General features: G+C 38.7%; 1 long non-coding RNA gene across 9 annotated transcripts in view; it reads right to left on the reverse strand.

The window, feature by feature from the left end:
- LOC105372892 (uncharacterized) overlaps positions 1-21552 on the reverse strand; it is a 57069-nt gene that overhangs the window by 1574 nt on the left and 33943 nt on the right. Inside the window, exons 1-5 of one of the 9 annotated variants that reach the window (XR_001738432.2) lie at positions 13666-13756; positions 10628-10718; positions 7957-8012; positions 7389-7501; positions 2558-2838 (exon numbers count right to left, since the gene is read on the reverse strand). This is a non-coding gene — a long non-coding RNA (uncharacterized LOC105372892). Of the gene's footprint in view, positions 1-2557; positions 2839-5382; positions 5530-7388; positions 7502-7956; positions 8013-10627; positions 10719-13665; positions 20223-21552 lie in introns of those variants that run through there. The other 8 variants (XR_007066861.1, XR_001738434.2, XR_007066856.1 and 5 more) reach the window with 8 other exon arrangements.

Below are 21552 nucleotides of genomic sequence, written 5' to 3' on the forward strand. Positions count from 1 at the left end.
CCTATTCCCCCATGTCTTTTTTATAACAAATTTTGTATCTTTGACAAAGAGAGATGAAAAATAGTATCTCTCCTTGTAGTTTGATTTTTGTGTCTCTTAACATGAATGAAGTCAAGGACCTTTTTACATGATTAGTAGCCAATTGTATAAATTTTTCTGTGAACTGTATGTTCACGTCTTTCATCCTTTTTTTTTTCCTTTAGGGATGTTTGTCTTTTTGTTAAAGGCTTATGTGAATTATTTTTATATTACAGAAATTGGTCTTCTGTCCATGATAAGATTTTTAAAGAAGTATTTTTTCAGAGTTTATCACAAGCTTTTGAATGATTATATTTTGCCTTAAGTGTATGTTTTCTAATTTACTGTAGTTTGGTGTATTAATATTTTCTTTTAACTCCAAGATTTGTGAAATGGTTAAAAAGGCCTTCTTTCTACACTATGAGATTATAATTTGTTCTCTTAGTTTCCTCTGGTAACTCTATGGTTTCACTTTTTACCCCTAATTCTTTGATCCAGTTTTAATTTATCCTGGTATAAGACTTAAAGTATGAATTCAACTTAAATTTTTTTCCAGATGGTGACCCAGTTTTCCAACAAAATTTATTGAATAATCCATATTTTCTCACTAATATGAAATGAAAATTTATCATATACTAAAGTCACGTAAGTCTTTTGGCCTATTTCTAGACTTTCAGTTCTGTCCCATTGGCTGCCAGTTTATTCATGTACCAGAACCAAAATTTTATTATTGCAGCATGATATTTTAATATCTGATAATGAATTTCTCACTCCATTTTACATATTTTTAAATTTTGTTCCTTTTCTTTGTTTCTCCATTTGAATTTCAGAATAAGCTTGTATGCTTCCAGAAACAAATCTTATTGACATTTGTATTGGAATCATGTTAAATATAAAAGTTCAGCTCAGGAATAATTGATATAGTCTTATGTTGTTGAGTCCTTTTATCTCACCATATGGTATGTCTAGCGATTTGTGTAGGTTGTTACATTTCCTCAGTAGTGTATTTTATGAGAGTGCGTGCACACACACACAACTTATTAAGTTTATTACTAGAAATTTTATATTTTACACTTGATCTTAGCCAAAAGGCTGAGAAGTGATGATATTTTATATTTTAAAAATCAACCGTAAATGGTGTGTTTCCTTCTAGTAGAGCTTTAACTGTTTATTGTTTTTACATAAGAAAGCTATTTTCTTCCTTTCCCTTTTACTTTACTGAGTTTAGTTTGTAACAGTTTTTAGTTATACGATATACAAATAGGTAACTACAACTTCTAAGTTACATGCCTCTAATTCCTGCCTTTCATATGATCCCATTTGCTAGTACTTCCAGATGATGCTGAATAGCACCAGTGATGTAGGTCATTCTTGCTCTATTCCTAATTTTAACACTTTCTGACTATTAATGCTTCTAGTGTTTTCTTAATAAGCATAATGCTGGCTTTGCAGTTGCAGTACATTATATTATATTAAAGAAATTTAATTTATTTCTATTTTATGGACTCTTCTCTTTTTTCCTTTTTTAAAAAAGCAATTCTAAAATGTAAAGTGCCTTTCTTCAGTACCTATGGAGAAACCTGATAGTCTTCTTTCCTCCTTAAATATAGTGAAATATGGTAGTATGTTTCCTAAGGATCATCTTTTTATTCCTAGAATAAACCCCACTTTGTCAGAATGGTTTATAGTTTTAATTTATTTAGGACTTTTGCATCATATTAGTACATGGAATTCATCTGTAGTTTTATGTTTCTGTGCAATCTTTATCAGGTTTTGATGTACAGTTTCATATAAAGATTATCCCAAGAGTTTGGTAGTTTTCTTTCCTTCCACCGTCACCACTCCGCCCACGCTCTGGAAGAGTTTAAATGAGTTTAATTCTGTTCTGTAAAGGTGTAGTAGAATTTCTGAAACTGGATTTTATGCCTTTGGTGTGTGGGAGAGGGAAGATATTAATAGCTTTCTTATTTCATTTATAGGAACTGGTCTGTTTAATATTTCTAGTATATTGTCTAGTATACTTTCCATTTCATTTATGTTTCCAAGTTTGTATAAAACTGAGCTAGGTAATTTATTTAAATTTCCTCTATGCCTTTGGTGCTACTTCTTATCAATCATTTCTTACTTTGTGCATTTGTGCTTCCTTTTAAAACTGTTTAAATATTTTATTTTATTTTAAAATCAGCTTTTGAACGTATTTGCCTTCCTTTCAGTTTCAACTTCTTTGCTGTGATGGATTTTCTCTGCCATTTAGTTTTTTGTTGTGTTCTATAGATCATGTCTCAGATCCTCCTGTCGCCTTGAGTTCTATTTTTTTGTGTTCTTTCACCAAGATGATTGCTTTAAGTTTTTTATTATTATTATTTGGGCAAAATACTTTATCATAATTTTTAGATCCTCTATCAGTTCCTTTTGGGACACTCATCTTTAAAGGAGGTTTTTGTATTGTTTTGTTTTTTGTTTGTTTGTTTTTGTTTTTTACCTAAGCCAGCAATTGCTGGAGGTTTCTGTTGGCAGAAGTCAGGACCATGTCTCAGGCTAGTTAGAATTTTCTTTATTCCCAGGAGCTTGTATACAAGTTATTTATCCTTGGTTCCTCCACAGCCAAAGAATAAACAAAGGTGGGCAGGTTTCCACAATTTATAGTCTGTTCCTCTGTCAAACTGCTTCAAACAAATCTGACCTGTTTATGTGATTCCCTGCATGGCCTTGCTGCTTCTCCTTGGGACCAAACTGTACTATTGGTGCCAGCCTATGAGCTCTGGTCCCACTATTGCCTGTAGGAATTTAGCTTGCTCCTCAACTGTTTTTTGTTAATCTCTGAAAGGAAAAGGAGAAAATGCTCATTTGTGTTATGTCTTTAAACTGGAAATGTTCGAATATCTTACACAATAAATATGACATTATTTATTTTACATTAAATTAAAAAACAAAAAACAAACATTGAGCCGGGCACAGTGGCTCACGCCTGTAATCCCAGCACTTTGGGAGGCCAAGGCAAGTGAATCACATGAAGTCAGGAGATCGAGACCAGCCTGGCCAACATGGTAAAACTCTATCTCTACTAAAAATACAAAAATTAGCCAGGCATGGTGGCGGGTGCCCGTAATCCCAGCTACTCGGGAGGCTGAGGCAGGAGAATCGCTTGAACCCAGGAAGCAGAGGTTGCAGTGAGCTGAGATCACGCCATTGCACTCCAGCCTGGGGGACGAGAGCAAGACTTTGTCTCAAAAAAAAAAAAAAAAAAAAAAAAAAAAACATTGATATTGCTTTGAATGAAGTAACTGGTAAATATGCATAGTTTAACTCCAGACCTGTATACTTCATTATTGTCTATTTGGTGTCTAACCCGGCACTTGACACATGACCCTTCAATATATATTTAGGTGTTGTTGAACTAATGAATATATGCTATAAATGATACTGAACAATTACCTTAAATCAGGAGTTGCACGCCGGTACAAACATGGCCTGCCAATATGTTCTTTGGGCAGAATAGCATTTGTTAAGCAGGGTGTGCGTTCTGAAGTTCTTCCTACACTCTATTGTTTTGCCTAGCTGCTTTATCCACACACTTTATTTACTTGACCTCTAAAGTTATTGGATATGGAGACCTCTGCAAATACTTGATTAAATATGTCAGATTATATTATCTGGACATTCTTATTTTTTAAAAAAAATGTTATCACACACAAACACAATCTAGAGTTTAGAAAAATTGTAGTCAGCCTGGAGTAAAATTTGGAAGTCAGCTTGAGAGATGATTTAACCCATCCATAGCCTCAGGGAAAACAGTGCTTCATTCATTACAGGAGTCTGCCTTCTGGACCATATATTATACCTTGCATAGAATCCAGGAGGAATAAGTAAAATGAAGTGGCACCCAATGGCTGTCAGTGTCTAGTTACAACTTCTCAGCTTTCTAGAGGTCTGATCCTGTACCAGGTATCCAAGGGCATATGCAGAGAGTGGGAGCTCTGCTCCATATGCCCCTGGAGCTACCCATCTTTCTAACTAGTGATCCATACTCAACCTTTTCCAGGAAGCTCAGCTGAATAGCATGGGCTGTATTTGAGAGTATGAAGATTTTCTCAAGGATTTAGGTCCTCTGATACGTTTCCTTTGAAGTACTCTCAGGAGAAAATGTTCTGAAACAGAGTGAGGCATCACTTCAGCTCTGGCCAGTGAACTCACATTTATTTTATTCCAGGTGAATCCATCTTAGTATAACCTGCCAGCTGAGTACATATAGAGAAGTGAGGAAAAAAGGAGGGACTACACAGGATGATAATCTGATCAATATTCTCTGATCATAATATGTGGATCTTTGCCTCTTCTAAGATCTGACTACTGAGATGCAGGAAGCTACATCTCAATTCCTGTTCCTTCGGTCCTGACCCTACAAGAGTCAATTTCCATTCCCTTCAGCAAGTTAGAGTTAAAGATGGTTCACGGAGACTGGAATAAAGCAACACCCTAGAAAAAAACTTCATCAGAGCAATGCTAGTTTCAGAGTACTGTGGAAGCCTCCTCCACTAAGGGTAGGACAAACAGATTTCCAGCCCTACATGTCCTCTTCTTGGGAACTGCTAAGAGTTTTTCAGCTTCTATGGAGTAAAAAACCATAGAACAAATCGAGAACTTTAGAACGCTAAAGGAACTTAAAAACTGTCTATCCCAATCTCCTTATTTTATGGAGCAGATAGCAGAACTCCAGGGAAGAACTGTTACTTACCCAAGGTTACAGAACTAGTCAATTGCTCTTTCTGAGGCTCTACACTGCTTCACTTTACCAATTTCACTGTACACGTATTATATGCCAGATATGATTAAGGGTTGTGAGACACATGAACATAAGACAAGTTCTTGCTTTTGAAGAACTTTAAGAGAGGTAGGAAAAAATGATCATTTCAGGAGGCAAAACATTTAAATTTAGGGCCATATTTTCTCAAAAGATTAAGAACAGATTATATTCTTAATCTTTTGATTACAAAGAGACAAAGAGCATTCAAACAGCTGAACTCTTATTGTATTGCCCACCAAATACAATAGCAAGAAATATATAGAAACTGTCTATTACTGATGGTTCTCTTCAATAGTGTTAACAAATCTGGATCCCTGGATTCATTTGATTCCCTAAAGCCCACAGCCAAGTGTCTTCAAGGACAGTGGGGTGACTGCTGCAATAAGGAAATGAGGCAGGAGAGAGGGCATTCTGGCTCTTTTGGCAGAACCTAGTGTTCTTGGTGGTGGCGTGTTCAATCACAGTAAATTTTTGCCTTACTTGGAAATACAGAACAAGAATTCCAGTGTATACATAGAAACATATACAGAAGAACAAAACTATTAGGATTTCACACCAAAACCCTTTAAATAGGAATTTATTAAACATTAATTGTTCCCTCTTTCAGTACAGAGACAGGACCTATGTTTTTGGAAATGCTCCCAAAATAGGTAACATGTTCATACCATTTGCTTCCCATATCCTCTTCTGAGATTTTCACAAGTTTCCTAAAATAAGATAGCAATGCACATAAGGAGCTATCAGAACATAAACAGTACATCGAGCTCCCGGCAGCCATCAAGGTGATAGCTGAGCTGGGTCCTACAAAGAGAAAGACTGCACCATGAAGAACAGTGGGAAGGCATATCTACAAGAGGAAAGAATATGGGGACACACACATACAGACAGAGAGCTATACCAAAGAATGGCATGTGAGGAGCTATATGCCAACACCCTCTTTAAAAAGGGGGAAGCTGGCCGGGTGCGGTGACTCACACCTGTAATCCCAGTGCTTTGGGAGGCCGAGGCAGGCAGATCACAGGTCAGGAGATCGAGATCATCCTGGCTAACACGGAGAAACCCCGTCTCTACTAAAAATACAAAAAATTAGCCGGACGTGGTGGCGGGCGCCTGTAGTCCCAGCTACTCAGGAGGCTGAGGCAGGAGAATGGCGTGAACTCAGGAGGCGGAGCTTGCAGTGAGCCGAGACTGCGCCACTGCACTCCAGCCTGGGCAACAGAGCGAGACTCCGTCTCAAGAAAAAAAAAAAAAAAAGCGGGGGGAAGCTGAGACCAAAAGTAACCAGGGCAGGTCCAGGAGTAGTAGCTAGTTAGTAGCAAAGCAAATGGAGAGCCCCAGTTTTCTGACTCCCATGCCTGTTGCGCCTATTCTTAGCATCTCTGCCTCTGACCTCACATCTCTAGAAGGCCGCAACAAACAGGGGAGGCAGGATGTACCTACAACATTCCTTTGTTTTTTCCAGTACTCTACTAGTGTCTAAAATATCTTTGCTATAGCAAGCTAGCTTGCTTTTTTGGCAAGCTTGATTAGAGCAAGAAAAAGTGCTGAATTTCCAATATGCAAATTAAGTTAAAGGCTACCCAGGGATGAAGGAGCCCTACAGGAATGCTTTATTGACTGCTGCAAATTTACCCAAATAACTATTTTTTAAAAACAACAACAACAAATAAATTGAGTTCCAACCTCCTTTGTTCTTCCCTTAGGAGTCACATGTTTTTCACCTCTAATTTCATATCATTGTTGAAGTGGTGCATTGTGCATTATTTATAAATGGAATTCAAATGAAGGTGGCTACACTAAGAAACTAGAATTAGATTAATCACAAAATGTATGGCTAATAGCCATTTGCTCTTTAAGTGCTTCGTTTTAGTGGGTGTAAACAGGGAGTAGAATTTAATTTTCTTGGCTAGTATTAGCAGAAAATATATAAAATACTGTGTGTTCTTTCTATAGTTACTCCAGGAGTATTTGTGCAATTATAGCCTTTTTGTCCCCAAGGAAATCAATCTAAAATAAATAGTGAGGGCTTCTGAGAGGTATACTGACATTAGGGAGATTGTATTTTTAAAGAACAAGAAATTAGGTGGCTCAGAGAACAGTTCTATGTTGGTATCGTTGTACTACTTGGACTGGGTTAAGATGACAAACCTCTTAATAAGTACCAAACTTATTAAGCCCCCTTGCATGGTGTCTTAAAGTGTTGGAGCCATAAAATTTAAAATTTTAATCCAATTAGGCTCCTATTAACTCAAGAGATAGTTAGAATTATGGCTTTATGGGTCTCCCTGCTTCCTTCCTCAAAATGAGGGGTTATGACTTTGAACCACGGAAATTAGCTTTATCTATGAAGTTGGAAGAAGATCAGTACATTCAGCAGAGGATCAGCTTCTTCCCGCATTCCTGTGTGGACTTCAGGAACATGACACATTGCTCCACAGCTCCTTTTGGTCCCCATGTGTCCCTCATTATTTGGAAGTCCTGGGCAAGCTCCGCAGGATGAGGGAGTATAAAGAAAATGGGCTGCCTAGCTGTTGTAAACCCAAGCTCTGGAATCAAGCAAACTTACGTTTGATTTTGGCTTGATCCTCACAGGCAATAAGAGCTGGCATAAGTAGCTTGAGATACGCCTCAGTTGTATCTTCAGTAACATAGCGATAATATTGCCTACCTCCCAGGCTCCTTGAGAGGAGGAAATGATACTTATAAAGTTTTGGACACACGGCAATTGTCCAACTCTAAGAAGATTTTCTTACAAAACGGGAGAAGAAGATTTTCTTACAAAACAGGAGAAAACAAGATAGCTCAGGCTTTTGGAGTCTTTCTATGTGCCATGGGCTGTGTCGAGTGCCTTACTGTATTAGCAAAGTGATACTTCTTCCGTCTATTCAGTGGCAGAACCAGGGTGAAATCCAGCAGCCTGGCTCCTGAATGTGAGTGCTTAATCACAAAGCTTTGCAATGGGCCCTCCTTGGAGCAATGTGACCTAGCATAATGACCCAGGAACATTCTGTGCCTCCATTTCCCCATTAAAAAATGAGAACATAAGAAAAGCAAGCCTGCCACTAAGGTTCTGAGTGTCTGGTATGCTTTCAGACTGCCGTGGGCATTAGGCAGCTGACACATATATTCCATACCTCTCTTTAGGGTCTGTTGCCAGCCTGGCAGATATTTGTGGGTTTCTGATCAGCACCTTAAAGAAAACAAACAAAAATAAAAACAGAGATAAACCTGCAGTCACTGTCTTTATTGGAGCAATTTCTAATTCAAACAGTAAGTGCTTGTGACTAAATGAAAATGCAATGGTAGTTAATAACTGTTATTCTCCTCTAATTTTAAAATAATGTGAAATCAGTTTAGTAAGACTGGAGTGAACAAGTATAAGGTGAATAAACTCGTACAAATCTCTACCACAGTCAAAATGACAGCCTCAGAAACTCATTTACAACTGTAGACTATATCTTCTGAGCTTTCAGAATAAGGTGGGAGTTCAAGTTCATGGTCTTATGGTCCAACTTTAAGATATATCCTGAATCAGTCCTTTTTTTTTTTTTTTTTCTTTTTGCAGGGACATCAATAACCCTTCAGTCTAATCCAAGGATCAGCAAGTTATCTCTAAAAAGTTAAAGATAGTAAATATTTTAATCTCTGTGGGCCATAGTGTCTCTACAGCAACTACTCTACTCTGCTGTGTAGAGCAACAGCAGCCATAGATAATACAGAAATGAAAGGACATGACTGCATCCCAATAGAGTTCTATTTACAAAAATGGGTGATAGGCTGAGTTTGACCCATGATTGTAATTTGCCAGCCCATGGTCTCAACCACCGTGACCTTTCAACATCTTCAGTTACTGTTCTTACTCCTTCATTATGAACCCTGTCTAACTAAGGTTCTAAAAGGATATGCCACTTCCTTGCCTAAAATGCTGCATTGCATTCTTATTGTACTTAAGTTAGAAGCTAAACTTCTTGGCATGGCATCCAAGGTCCACATATTGGGAGCCACCTGTCAATCCAGTGTTTTCTCACGTTGTGCTCACTTCAGCTCACTTTATTTCTGTGTTTTTCAGCTTGTCAATTCAGGGCCTTTGCACACGCTGTTTGTTTCCTTCCCTTCAAAGTCCTCCTCCTCACTTTCTGCTTCCCAATCCTCCAATTCAAATTAGATCATTTCTCATACCTCCCATAGTATTCTACACTCTCCCTTCAGAGCACTTAACTAATTCAAAATTAAATGCTCATTATTTGTGCAAGTATTCATTTAATAGTGGTCTTCCCTACTAGACTTAGTGCCTTAAGAGCAGGAGTTAGTCATGTTTGGTTATCACATACTTCTGACAAACAGTAGATGCTCAACAGCTGCACATTAATTGCATGAACAAGTTGTTTAGTTCTAAATGTTCAAATATTTTTATGAAATTCAGTCATCTTCCTTCCTTGGGAGAACAAAAAAATGTCTGGGACCAGGATGATTTCTTTTCTATGTTACAAATGGAGAAATAGGCCCAACAATGACTGTACGAGTTACCAGGAAGAGTTTGATTAAAAGTCCAAGCATGTTTTCCCAGCTTAGTAGTTTCCTGAGACACTTAGAAGTCCCACGGGTTCATGTTTGAGAAATTGCCATGTAATTTCAACCTTGCCCTTGCTGATGTCTTTGGAAACCTTCCAGTCAATTTCCCAAGGCTGAAACCTTTTGTGCTGGAATGATGCTTATTCTGGGAGCCCTGATGCCATTATCACCTTCATTTCGGGTATTGACCCAGCACAAGAATTGTACATTTACTATGTGCTAATTTTAAAAAGTTTACAGAGCTAGGCTCCTCTACAGATTTTCAAGAAGACATTTGTGGTTCTAGGCACCTTCTCTGGAATCATTAGGCAACAAATTTGCTTGGAAATTTCTTTCATTGTGTCTCGGTGGAGATGAAATATGGTCACTTGCTGGGAAGAAAACAACAATAAAAGGAGAGAAAAATCTTTCTAAGTGCTCCCTAAAAACAAGGAAATCTGATATGCAGACTGTGTGCTGATACTATTATGAGACTTCTAACTCAGAGCTGTAACAGATGGGCGTTTTCTGTCTTTGGTGATAAGGTGAATGACTTCCCCCAGGGATGTGTGGGGAGAACTGCTGAGTTGGCCGTGTTGGTGCCAAGCATCTGGCTGCTGACAGGATTATAGGCAGAGATTGGCACTGTGGGGAGGGTGGGTTGATAACATGGAGACAGAAGACTGGAAAGCAAAAATAGCCCCTCTTTCTTATCCATCTGTAGCTGGAACTTTAAGCAACCCATTCTGAATAGTGAATGAGGCAGCCAAGAGAGGCTAAAGATGGGTACCCATTCATTCATTCCTTTATTCATTCAACAACCATATTGAGTAACTGGTATGTGGCAGCTATTATGCTGGCTCCTGAGGAATGAATTCACAGCAGAAATGAATTGATTTTACCCTCAGGAGGCTCCCAGCTTGGGGAAGGAGATGAATACTGAAAAAAAAAAAATAAGCTTGATAAAGTGTTATTGTGAGCAGAAAAGGCCTCATAGTGATGGGAATTCAAGATAAAAATTTGAAAAGTCAATGGGTATTTCCTGTGAGGATGTAAGGACTGGGAGGGGGAGCAAGTATGATTTAGATAGAGAATGAAGCATAAACAAAGAAACTAGAGGGACCTCTCTAGTTTCCTCTCTCTCTCTCCACCCTCCACTGGTCCCTTGCTAATGTCATGCCCATCTGCTTGCAGTTTCCTTATGAAGCATCATCATTTTTTGTTTCTGCTCTTTTCCCATGGTGTAATTTCTACCTGGATTTCCTGTCCTTCCCCCTTGAGTGCTCCTGGAACAGTAGAGAGCTTTGTAGACCATGTTGGACAATTTGAACCTTATCTGAAGGCCCTGAGGAAATATTAAGGATGAATAAGCAGAATAGTTATGGTCATATTTGATTTTAAGAAAGTTCACTTTGGTTTTTTAAGGGAATGAGCTAGAATGTGAGGCTGGAGCACATTCGGAGACAGATACAATCATTCACTCAGACGTATTGAGGACCTGAACTAGAACAGCAATAGTTGTCAGAGACCAGCCTGGGTGTGAAAGATGTTACAGAGATAAACGCAAACACAGCTGATTGGTTACAAAATAATTTTTTGTCCTTTGATTGGTTGGGTAAATAATAGTAACAACACTGTATAATTGAAGAAAAGTGAAGAAGCAGAGCTTAGGGAAAGATTATTGATTCATCGTGCGTTGGTGATATTGGTTTGGGATTCAATGTTAGAAGTACACTTTTGACATCCAAAAGGAAATGTTAGGTGGTGATGTCACATAGCGATTTGAAACTCAAGAGACAGAAGCCATGGCTTTTATCAGTTAGGATAAGCTAGGTTATGATGTAGTAAAAATAAAAATCTCAGCAGCTTAAAATAACCAAAGTTAATTTCTTCCTTACTCTACTATCTACTGTAGGTCAGCAAGAGTGTTTTGCTCACTGCAGCCACTCGCAGACTCAAGCTGCGAGAGCAGTCACCATTTTGAAAGTCATTGGCTATTGGGCCAGAGGGAAAAGAGAGGTCTGGAAGGTCTTGTCTTGGTGATTAAATGTTTGACCAGAAAGTGACACTTGACATTTCTGCAAAGAACTAGTCAGTGGCCACACCTAGTTTCAGGGAGCCAGGAGTGCATTCCTCCTGGAAGGAAGGAGAGCTGGAAATATTTGGCAAATAGCAGTAATGACTACCACAGGACCAGAAATAAAGACCTAGGTATGATCAGCATGTAGGTGGCAGAAAGGCTGTGGCAGTGGATAATCCCATAAAGCTACATAGAGATTAAAAAGAAGGAAGCTAAATCAGAGTCCTAGGAAAGCGTCTATATTTAAGGTACTTTGCATGGGGGAAATAAAGTCACAGAGAGAGGATGAGACGAAATAGTCAAAAAAGTATCAGGAAAACCAGAATGGCATCACAAAAGATTATGAGAACATTTCAGTAAGGGAGCATTTCAATAGTGACTGACTGAATCTTTCTTTTGAACAGTAGCTAAGCTGCCCTGATAAGATGATGGATAGACATCTTTGTCTTTTTTTAAACAACTGGTGCATTATAGTCATTAATTCCTAGAGTTGACAGGGTCCTCAAAGGTCATCCAGCTTACCTACCCACCAAATATCAGAACCCTCACAATGACAGGTTACAAATCTCTATCTTAAATTAACCTGGAATCTTTCCCTTTGTGCTTGTATCCATGGTTCTGCCCTCTACAATCACAGTTAAAGGGAGGTTTTTATTTCTGTTATCCACTCAACCTTATAATATCATTGAATAGCAGATAGGGTTGATGACAGATTTCTAAGACATAATTAATTTGCATAAAAAGCAACTTTTTTTTTTTTTTTGGAGAGATGGAGTCTCACTCTGTTGCCCATGGTGGTCTCCAACTCCTAGTCTCAAGTGATCCTCCCACCTCAGCCTCTGAAAGTGCTGGGATTACAGGCATGAAGCACCATGCCCAGCCAGGCTTGTTAGAATTTAGGTCTGATTTCCAGATGGAAGCTCAGTTATCCAAACTACAGTTCCTCTTTTGATTTAAGCAGAAAAGACAGGAGGTGAGGCAGGAGAGATAAGATGAGATGATATAGTATAATTTTTAAAAAAATTAAAGATTGGCTGGGCATGGTGGCTCATGCCTATAATCCCAGCACTTTGGGAGGCTCAGGTGGGAAGATCATTTAAGTCCAGGAGTTTGAGACCAGCCTAGGCAACACAGTGTGACCCCATTTCTAAAAAACAAAAAATTAAACATTATTAGCATAGGATAATATATACTCTATTTGGCTTCTAACTCTGTGAGCAGACAAATCACTTAACCTCTCTGAGCAGAAATGTTTCCATCAGTGAAATGAATGCCTGTTCTGTATTCCTCACCTGGCTGGTTGTTATTAGAAAAGATGAAAGTAACAGCTATGAATAAAATTCATATCTTTAATACAAAAGGTGGGAAGAGATAAAATAGAAAAGAGGACAACACAAGATTCAGGTTGCACCAGTCATGGGCAGACATCAGCTACTCAGACCAAGAAACAAGCTGAGCTTGGAGGCCAGTAGTTGATTTAAGGAAACCCCGTCCTGTATTTATTGCCATAGTAATATTGTATAACAATAACAACAACAATAATCACCTCAAAACCCCTGGGTGCACAATGACAAACATTTATTTTAATTCATGAAGCTATGGGTCTGATGGATGTTCTTGTGTTATGAACTAGGTCTGGCTAATTTTGGCTTGCCTTAGTCATGTGTATACAGTCAACTGGCATGTCAGTTGTGGGTTGGCTGGTCTAGGATGGCCTGATGTAGAGAACCCTCCTCCATGTGGTCGCTGATGCTCCACTAGCAGGCTGGCCTGGGGGTGTTCACCGGTGTCCAGGAGAAGCCCTCTTGAAGCTTAGCATCATAATTGACACACCCATCATTTCTGCTGCCTTGTATTGTCCAAAGCAAATCATGAGACCAAGCCCATGTTTAAGTGGTATAAAAATTGACCTTAATTTTTAATGGCATACATTTTTGTAATCAGTTTATCACAATCTTTTCTATGGTAGTCTGTAAGCAAGTTGAGAAAGTTGTTCAAATTCATAAGGAATGCTACAGAAATGGAAAGACCTCTCCCTCCTGCCGCCAAGGGAAAAGCCAACAGCCATGGAGAACAATGAAATGAGAAGCCACTTCCAGGGAGCAGAAGTGAGGTCTAATCAAGGAACTCTCCCCATGTCTGGAGTGAAAGGCCTAGAAACATTTACTCAGGAGGATTTAAGAGTTGCTATGAACCAATTCCTGGTGTTTACCTTCTGTTATGTCCCTTTTTTGAGTGGAAGTGTTTGTTGTAGTCGTTTTATTCCTCTTCATCATTGTATCTTTTGTGTTTCGGGGACATAACCTGTCTTTATATTCAGAGGCTGTGGATTATAAGCAGCTGCATCCAGACATGATGTCAATCACAAGATCTTGGTGGAGGTCCTGAAAGGGACTGAAACTTGAGAGAAATACTTGTGGCTAGAAGAAAGACTATGGTAGACTACAAAACTGGCTGCAAGTCATTGCTCCTCCCTGAATTCATGTTCTTTGCAGTGTGACCTTGTATCCATTTCAATCAATAGGTGGAGCCTATTTTCCCATACCTTGAATCTTGGCTGGTCTTTGACTTGCTGTAGTTAATAGAATGAAAAAATATGATGGTGTGCCATTTCTGAGGCTAGACCTCAAGAGGTCTTGACAACTTCCTTTCTCTCTAGGGACTTGTGCTTAACCCATGAGAATAAGCCAGACTGGAACGCTGGATGATGAGAGACACATGGCCCAGTCACTCATCACACTAGCCGACAGCCATACATGTGAGAAGCTAGTCCAGAGCTTCTCCACCAGGTGACCACAGATACTTAAGCAAGCCCAGCTGAGCAAAGACTAGAGCCGATCAGCAGGACCGTCCAGCTGACATGTAGACCTATGAGAAATAATAAATGCTTAATTTTTAAGCTGCTGAGTTGTGTGTGTATGTGTTACTCGGCAATATCTAACTAATACAACCTCAGTTTATTCCCCAGCATTTGGGAGACATTTCCACAACACCATGCCTTGCAGATGAAGAAAACACAAAAAAGATAAAAGAAAGTCCCATCCTGTCAGCTCTGTTGTCACCATAAGTGCTAGCACATTGTGGCTGTCTCTTTTGAAATAAGCCTAGGTTTGTGTCGTCCTTCAAACCACTGTTTTGCACTGCTCTCTTTCTTCCTCTTTCTCTTTATCTCTAAACCTCTGACAGTCCTTCTCCCATCAGTATCTAGGGATATATCTAACAGAGTGGGAAAGCAAACAGAAAACCAGTGGCTTTGAACTTTCAAAACAGAAAAATACTGTCATTCTGCTAGTTTCCCTTCTCTTGATAGAGAGAGAAGGAGAGAGTAAGTAATGACTATCTGGAGAATTCTCAGGAACGAGAAGTCCAGAAACACCATGCAAATGGCCTCTAGTATAAGGAAACATGGGTTATTTTTCTCTTTTTGTTTTGTTTTGTACTTGCTTCTACTGGGAAAGCGAAGAATGAACCTTAAAAGACTCTGAAACAATAGGCGGCCTTAAATGTGCCATATCTTTAATGCTGACCAGTTAGGCATTTGGAGTATGGAGATTTGGGTATGGGGAGAAAACAGTGATAATGTCTAACTATAAGAAGTTAATAAACTGAGAGAGAGGCAGGGCTGCATAAAGGAAAAGGCATGGTTTGTGGTCTGGGATCAGAGTTGCTAGCTTTGACTCTTCTTATACAACGTGGCCTCTCTTTACCCAATTCGTTGTATAATCTTGGCCTGGTTACTTACCCTCAGAGTCTCTATCAGAAAATAGATATACTTGGTAAAGCTAAGAAGGAGTAATGTTGTGTTCATTAGATGAATCAATGTATGTGCCAGAAAAAAACAGGGGGTTTCATTTTGCCTTAATTATTTTAGAAAGCAAGTCTCTGGGGTTCAATAGTTTATATTATCTAGATAGTTTCAAAGGAATGCTTCATTTCACTTGAGTCAAAATAAATCTAGACACCCTTGAGAAAAAAAACTGACATGGTTTGTGTCCTATTATTTTAATCAATGAGCTTGTGCTCCAGGTCTGTGCTAGGGACTACCATGACATAGAAGAGTAAGGTGTCCCTGTTCTTAGAGAAACAATTTGTAAAAGACTCAAGCTAGGAAATTGTTAAGTGGTATGTTTGTTGGTACTAACCACATGTGCTGCAGATATTTAAAGGAGGAGGAAACTAGAGTCCAGCAGATCAGTCTTTACCTAATTAATGAGATATTCAAAAGGTAAAATGTTACAATTAAAATTCCAATTTAAAAAGTCCAGCCATACAAAGAAATAGGAAAATGTGATTCATAATGAGGAGAGAATGCGATCAATAGAAAGAAACAGAAATGATACAGATGATAAAATCAATAGAAAAAGGCATTAAAAGTTATAACTATTACCTATATGTAATATAGGTTACATATTAACCTATATGTAACCTATAAGTTACATATTAACCTATATGTAACCTATAAGTTACATATTAACCTATATGTAACCTATAAGTTACATATTAACCTATATTATGGAGGTTATAGGAAATGGGCCTAGAGTTGGGTCTTAAAAGATGAAGGAAGGGGGCACACTGGGTCCCAGTAAGACAAGAAGAGACTATGTGCTAGACATGGCGCTCAGTGATTTACATGTATACAATGCCTCATTTAGTACTCAGAAGAACTGGAAGAAGATGTATTATTATCCTTGTTATAGTTCCACAGAGGTTAAGATGTTTACCAAAGCCACACAGTAAATGCTGATAGTAGGTAGGAAAACAAATGTCTTTGACTCTAAGGCTCATGTTCTTCTTACTGAGCCCTACTACTGAGCCCTTGTCCCAGGGACAAGAAGGAACATGCTGTGTTGCTTGTCAGTGAAGTGAACCACCAAGAAATACAAAGAATGTGTGTTGAAGAGCCCAGAGGTAATGCTGAATAGGTAAGGTGATGCCATCATAGTTTGGAAGGTCTGAAAAGAGTTGGAGCATCTAAGCATGATTTCTTGGGAGATACGGCCATTGGTGTTTTTTCTCAACCTGTCACTAGAGAGAGATACAGTCAAGCCTCCGTTTTCCTAGGGGAAGACTTGTTTTTCTACTCTGGGTGGAGAAAAATTATTAAAAAGTCTTGATTATCAGAATTTGGCCCCTAGTTTTTCTCATCATAACACAGTCCAGTATGTATGTTCTGAAATATCCATGGGCCCGCCTTTGACTGATGCAGACACAGTGAGGATCTTATGGAAGAGACAGAGATGACTGGAAGAGGTTGAGTAGGGAACATGTCTGTTCCAGCTTTCCTAATACTTCATCATCGGAAGAGCCAGGGGTATAGAAAATGGAATTAAAAGCCCCAAGTTAGAAAACAATGGCTCCCTTATTTTGTGTCAGGGAGTCAGACTGGTAGAGTGCCAATAGGTTTCATCATGCTTAGAATTTGATTATCTAGCACCCTGTCATTCTCAATCCATTATCCTGATTTCTTCTCTATAGCACTTATCACTTCACAACATTTTATTTTATATGAATTTGTTTATCTGTTATATAGATGCCCCACTGAAATATAAGTCTAATGATGGCAGGGACTTGACTTGTTTACTGTTAGCTTTCCAGAACCTGAAAATACTGCCTGGTACCAATAAATATTTGTTAGGTAAGTAAAGCTGATCATTGTATTAATCATTTCACTTATATTTATGGACTGATCATGGTAGTCAGGCCCTGAGAAATAAAACAGAGCTCATAACCTGGCGGTTCGAATGATAAAGAAGTGTTGGAAAAGCTGGAACAGACAGATTTCTTACCCAACCTCCTCTGGTCATATCTCTCTCTTGCGTAAAGATAATCCTTCTGGAATCATCATCAAACAGGGACTCCTCAGGACTAAAGATAAAGGGCCACAGATCTGAGGAGCCACTATACAGACACATGCTCAGATATAATCTGAAAAGTGCAATGCAGAGGTGTATGTAGAAAATAGTGGGAGTACAGAGAATGGATCCTAACCAGAGGAATCACCTGACCCCAACTTTAAAGAATAAGTAGGCTCTGGGTTAGGTTAGAAATCAATTGACCTATGTGCATTAACCCCCTTCTTTGAGGAATCCGGGGCACAGAGACAAGTGAGGTAGGGACCAGAGGTATGAGGAAGCCAAAATTATGTATTTAGATAACAGAAATCCAGAAAGATTTTTTTAAAAGGCACATGATGGGCCACCAAACATAAGTGCCAGAAGCGAATATTAAATACAAGGTAAAAGTCCAGAAATCCAGATTGATGGGCACAAGAACAACATAGAGTGGTGAAGGTAAGAACAAAAGAGGCAAAGATATTGAATAGTTTTGCAGAACAGGCACTAATGTTAAGGATTGCTTTGACAGGTAGACTGGAGATTGGGGCTGGTCCAACTAAGAGGAGAAGGCTCAGAAAAGACTCAGCCTACCTATGGCTATACTTACCTATTGTCCTGGGGCCGTCAGCCAGGAGAGCTGCATTCTGGATCTTAGTTCCACCTAAATACAGTTTGCTTCTTTTTATCCAATGTGGATATAGAAAGCAATGCGAGGAAAGATGGGAGAAAAGAGAAGCCAGAAATAGAGAAAGAGGATTAAGTGTGTAAAAGATATGAAGGAGAGAGGAAAAACAATTTTTATAAAGGTATAAGGGGAAGAAAGTTAAAAAATAAAACAAGAAAGAAAGGAACTTTCCAGCCCTTATTAGGTTTGAGTGCTAGTGGTTATTTAAGTGGTCCCTTTGGATGGGTAGACACGTTGAACATTTCACTTCTGCTTTGTTTATATTTATAAACCATAAAGTCAAGCTCAGATTTCTGCTAGAAAAGCACTTTTAGAAGGCAGTGAGATCTTATCTTTCATTTTCTATAGATCAGTTTCACAGCCTCTTGAAGTACTTATAGTTTTAATACATAACCATAAATGCCCCCTAAACAAGGAATATTGCACCTTTCGATTACTATTATTGCTTTATTGCTCATCACAGCCATAAATTAGCAACATCCTCCGGCATACTGAAAGAGCACTGAATTAGGTTACAACACGAATACACAAGAACCTATTAAAGTTTTGCTATTTCTTGAAAGTCTTTATAGTTTTCTAGTGTGCCCCATAAGTGTTTCAATTAAAGAACTACTTGCCTGCTCAGTAATAGCCTTCTTGTTTGAGATAGGATTGCATATCAGAAAAGCAAGATTAAAAGAAGGAAAATGGAATATAAAACATTAAAAATGAAATTGCTATAAAAAGGAAGGCAAGAGTTTAAATTACGCATATTAAAGCTATTTCAACCATTTAACTCTATTTGATACAAGCTGATGTACATACATATATTTCTATATCAAGTCTATAGCTAAAATTGTGTGTATGCATGCATTTACATACTTTATTCTCTCAATGACTCTAGTGCCATCTGACATTTTTATTGGAGTTCTTGACCACATGACCAATTATTGAAAAGTTATAACCAACAAGATGAGGACAATTATGTTGTTTATGATGATATAACAGCTTGGAGCTACATACCACGTAGAATATCATGATTACAAATCAAATACAATACAAGAGAAAAATTATTGAGAGCCAGGAGATCTACACCTTGATTATAGCTCTGCTAGTAATCTCTGTAAATAAGATATTTATCTTTCAGTTCTAGGTTTCCTTGGGCACCAATAAGTTGATAACATGTGAAGTATTCATTTTAAATATGTATCAAGTAACTACTAGGCATTATGGGAAATTTAAATGACTAAAAATTACATTGCTTATCCTCAAGGGGCTAATAGTTTATTTGGGGGTAAGAAAAACATACATTTGGGTATATGCAATGCAAATGGTACTGTTTCTAGCTAGTATGTAAAAAGTCACAAAGGACTATCACTCCTACATTAACAAGGAGAACAAGGTACATATGCTACAAAAACATAGCTTGTGTGTGTTTGTGTGTGGGAGGGCTGTGGTTAAACACATTGAAGTGCTGAGAATGCAAAGCAACCTCCTCAAAGTGATGACAAAAGGGTCCCACAATGGCTCTCATGCCTGGTGGAATGATAGTCATGATCGTCTTCCTCTCGTCTTAATAATGAGAATAAGCCAGATAAGCCACAAAATTCGTGGGTTTTCTCCAGTCCATTAGAGAGACAAGAATGCAAAAAATACAAGAAAGGAAAAAAAACCCCACAAAATTTCAGAAGTTGGCAAGCTCTTTTTAAGAGAGAAGGAACCGATTTCATTTCCGGTAGAGCAGCAGGATGAGGAAGAATCCACAAGAAATAGAGATACAAAGAAACAAGTCAAACTTTTAGCAAATGTTTAACTTTCTCTTGAGCCTTCATTGCATATGAGGGGAAATATTCTAAAAGATTAGGGCAAGGCAGGAAAGCTGAGAGTGGTCCTTCATTTTAGGCATGCAAGACCATCTTCAGGAATACTGCAGCAACCTTCAGAACAATGTGGACAGAAAAAGTGACCTGATAAAAATGCCTCCAAGGCATCTGACCTATACAGTATGTAAGATAGCTTCTCTTCAAAGGCTAGTGTAAGGATAGCTGAGTGGAAATAGATCTTCCAAGGTACAGTGATCTGAGGGTGAGACTGGAGACCAAAGACAACACCCTAGTCACCCAAAAAGGCTGGCAGCTTTCCTGAAAATGAAATTTTCTCAAGGTTCAGAAAGCTGGCAATGAAATACAGTTTCTTAAGAGCTCAGATACTAAGTTTGCCAGAATTGTAGTCCTGATTCTGCTCTCAAAACATTTGAAGTTAGTGGTAAACTAAATCTAAGTTGCAACAAAGGCCAAACCCAGACCAACTAGAGATTAAATTAGCTTAATCATCACAAACTGCAGTCTACCAGAAAAATAGAATGTCCAATTGGGGAGATAATATGTACTTCAGTCTCTACTGTTCTTTTACATATAATTCATGCATACCATTTAACAATGCACAGAGAGGCAGGAAAATGAAATTCCCTAGTCAAGAGAGAAACAAAGAATAGAAGTAGACCCAGTGAGTACTTAGATATTGAAATCACAAAAAGGACTTTAAGATATACATAGACAAATATTTTAATGAATCTAGGAGAGAAGTTGGACATATACTCTAAAAGATGGAGAATTTCACCAGAGAGATAGAGACCATGAAAAGAGACAAGTGGGTCTACAGAGGCTTCCTCTCTAGTGTTCAGCTAAGTAATAATCAGCACATGTATATGAGAAAGTTACCTAAGTGTATTTGTCAAGGTTCCCCACAGAAACAGGCTGAGATCATCTGAAAGAGGCAAAGCTATCAATCTCTGGAACTTCCACAGAGCCAACACAAGATTATGCTCTTATTATCCAGAGAGCAAAAAATCTTCATAAGTTGTGTCACTCCAGTAGAATACTCAAAAGGGTATTACCTCCATAGTAGGGCAAAATTAAGCTTAAAGGGCTCTGTGATCTCAACTATCAAACTTATAAATAAGTCTTGAAATAATCAGTTTACAAGAAACTTAACTGTACCCTAGAGAAAAATTTAAGAATATTTATAAGAATTCAATAAGATATTCAAAAGGTAAATTGTTACAATTAAAATTCCAATTAAAAAAGTCCCGCCATATGGCTGGACGTAGTGGCTCACAACTGTAATACCAGCACTTTGGGAGGCCAAGGCCTGTGGATCACGAGGTCAGGAGATCGAGACTATCCTGGTTAACACAGTGAAACCCCATCTCTACTAAAAATACAAAAAAATTAGCTGGGCATGGTGGTGGGCACCTGTAGTCCCAGCTACTCAGGAGGCTGAGGCAGGAGAATGGCATGAACCCGTGAGGTGGAGCTTGCAGTGAGCCGAGATCGTGCCACTGCACTCCAGCCTGGGAGACACAGTGAGACCCCATCTCTACTAAAAATACAAAAAAATTAGCTGGGCATGGTGGCGGGCACCTGTAGTCCCAGCTACTCAGGAGGCTGAGGCAGGAGAATGGCATGAACCCGTGAGGTGGAGCTTGCAGTGAGCCGAGATCGTGCCACTGCACTCCAGCCTGGGAGACACAGTGAGACCCCATCTCTACTAAAAATACAAAAAAATTAGCTGGGCATGGTGGCGGGCACCTGTAGTCCCA

The sequence above is a fragment of the Homo sapiens genome, chromosome 1, assembly GCF_000001405.40.
Source record: "Homo sapiens chromosome 1, GRCh38.p14 Primary Assembly".
Lineage (NCBI taxonomy): Eukaryota > Metazoa > Chordata > Mammalia > Primates > Hominidae > Homo > Homo sapiens.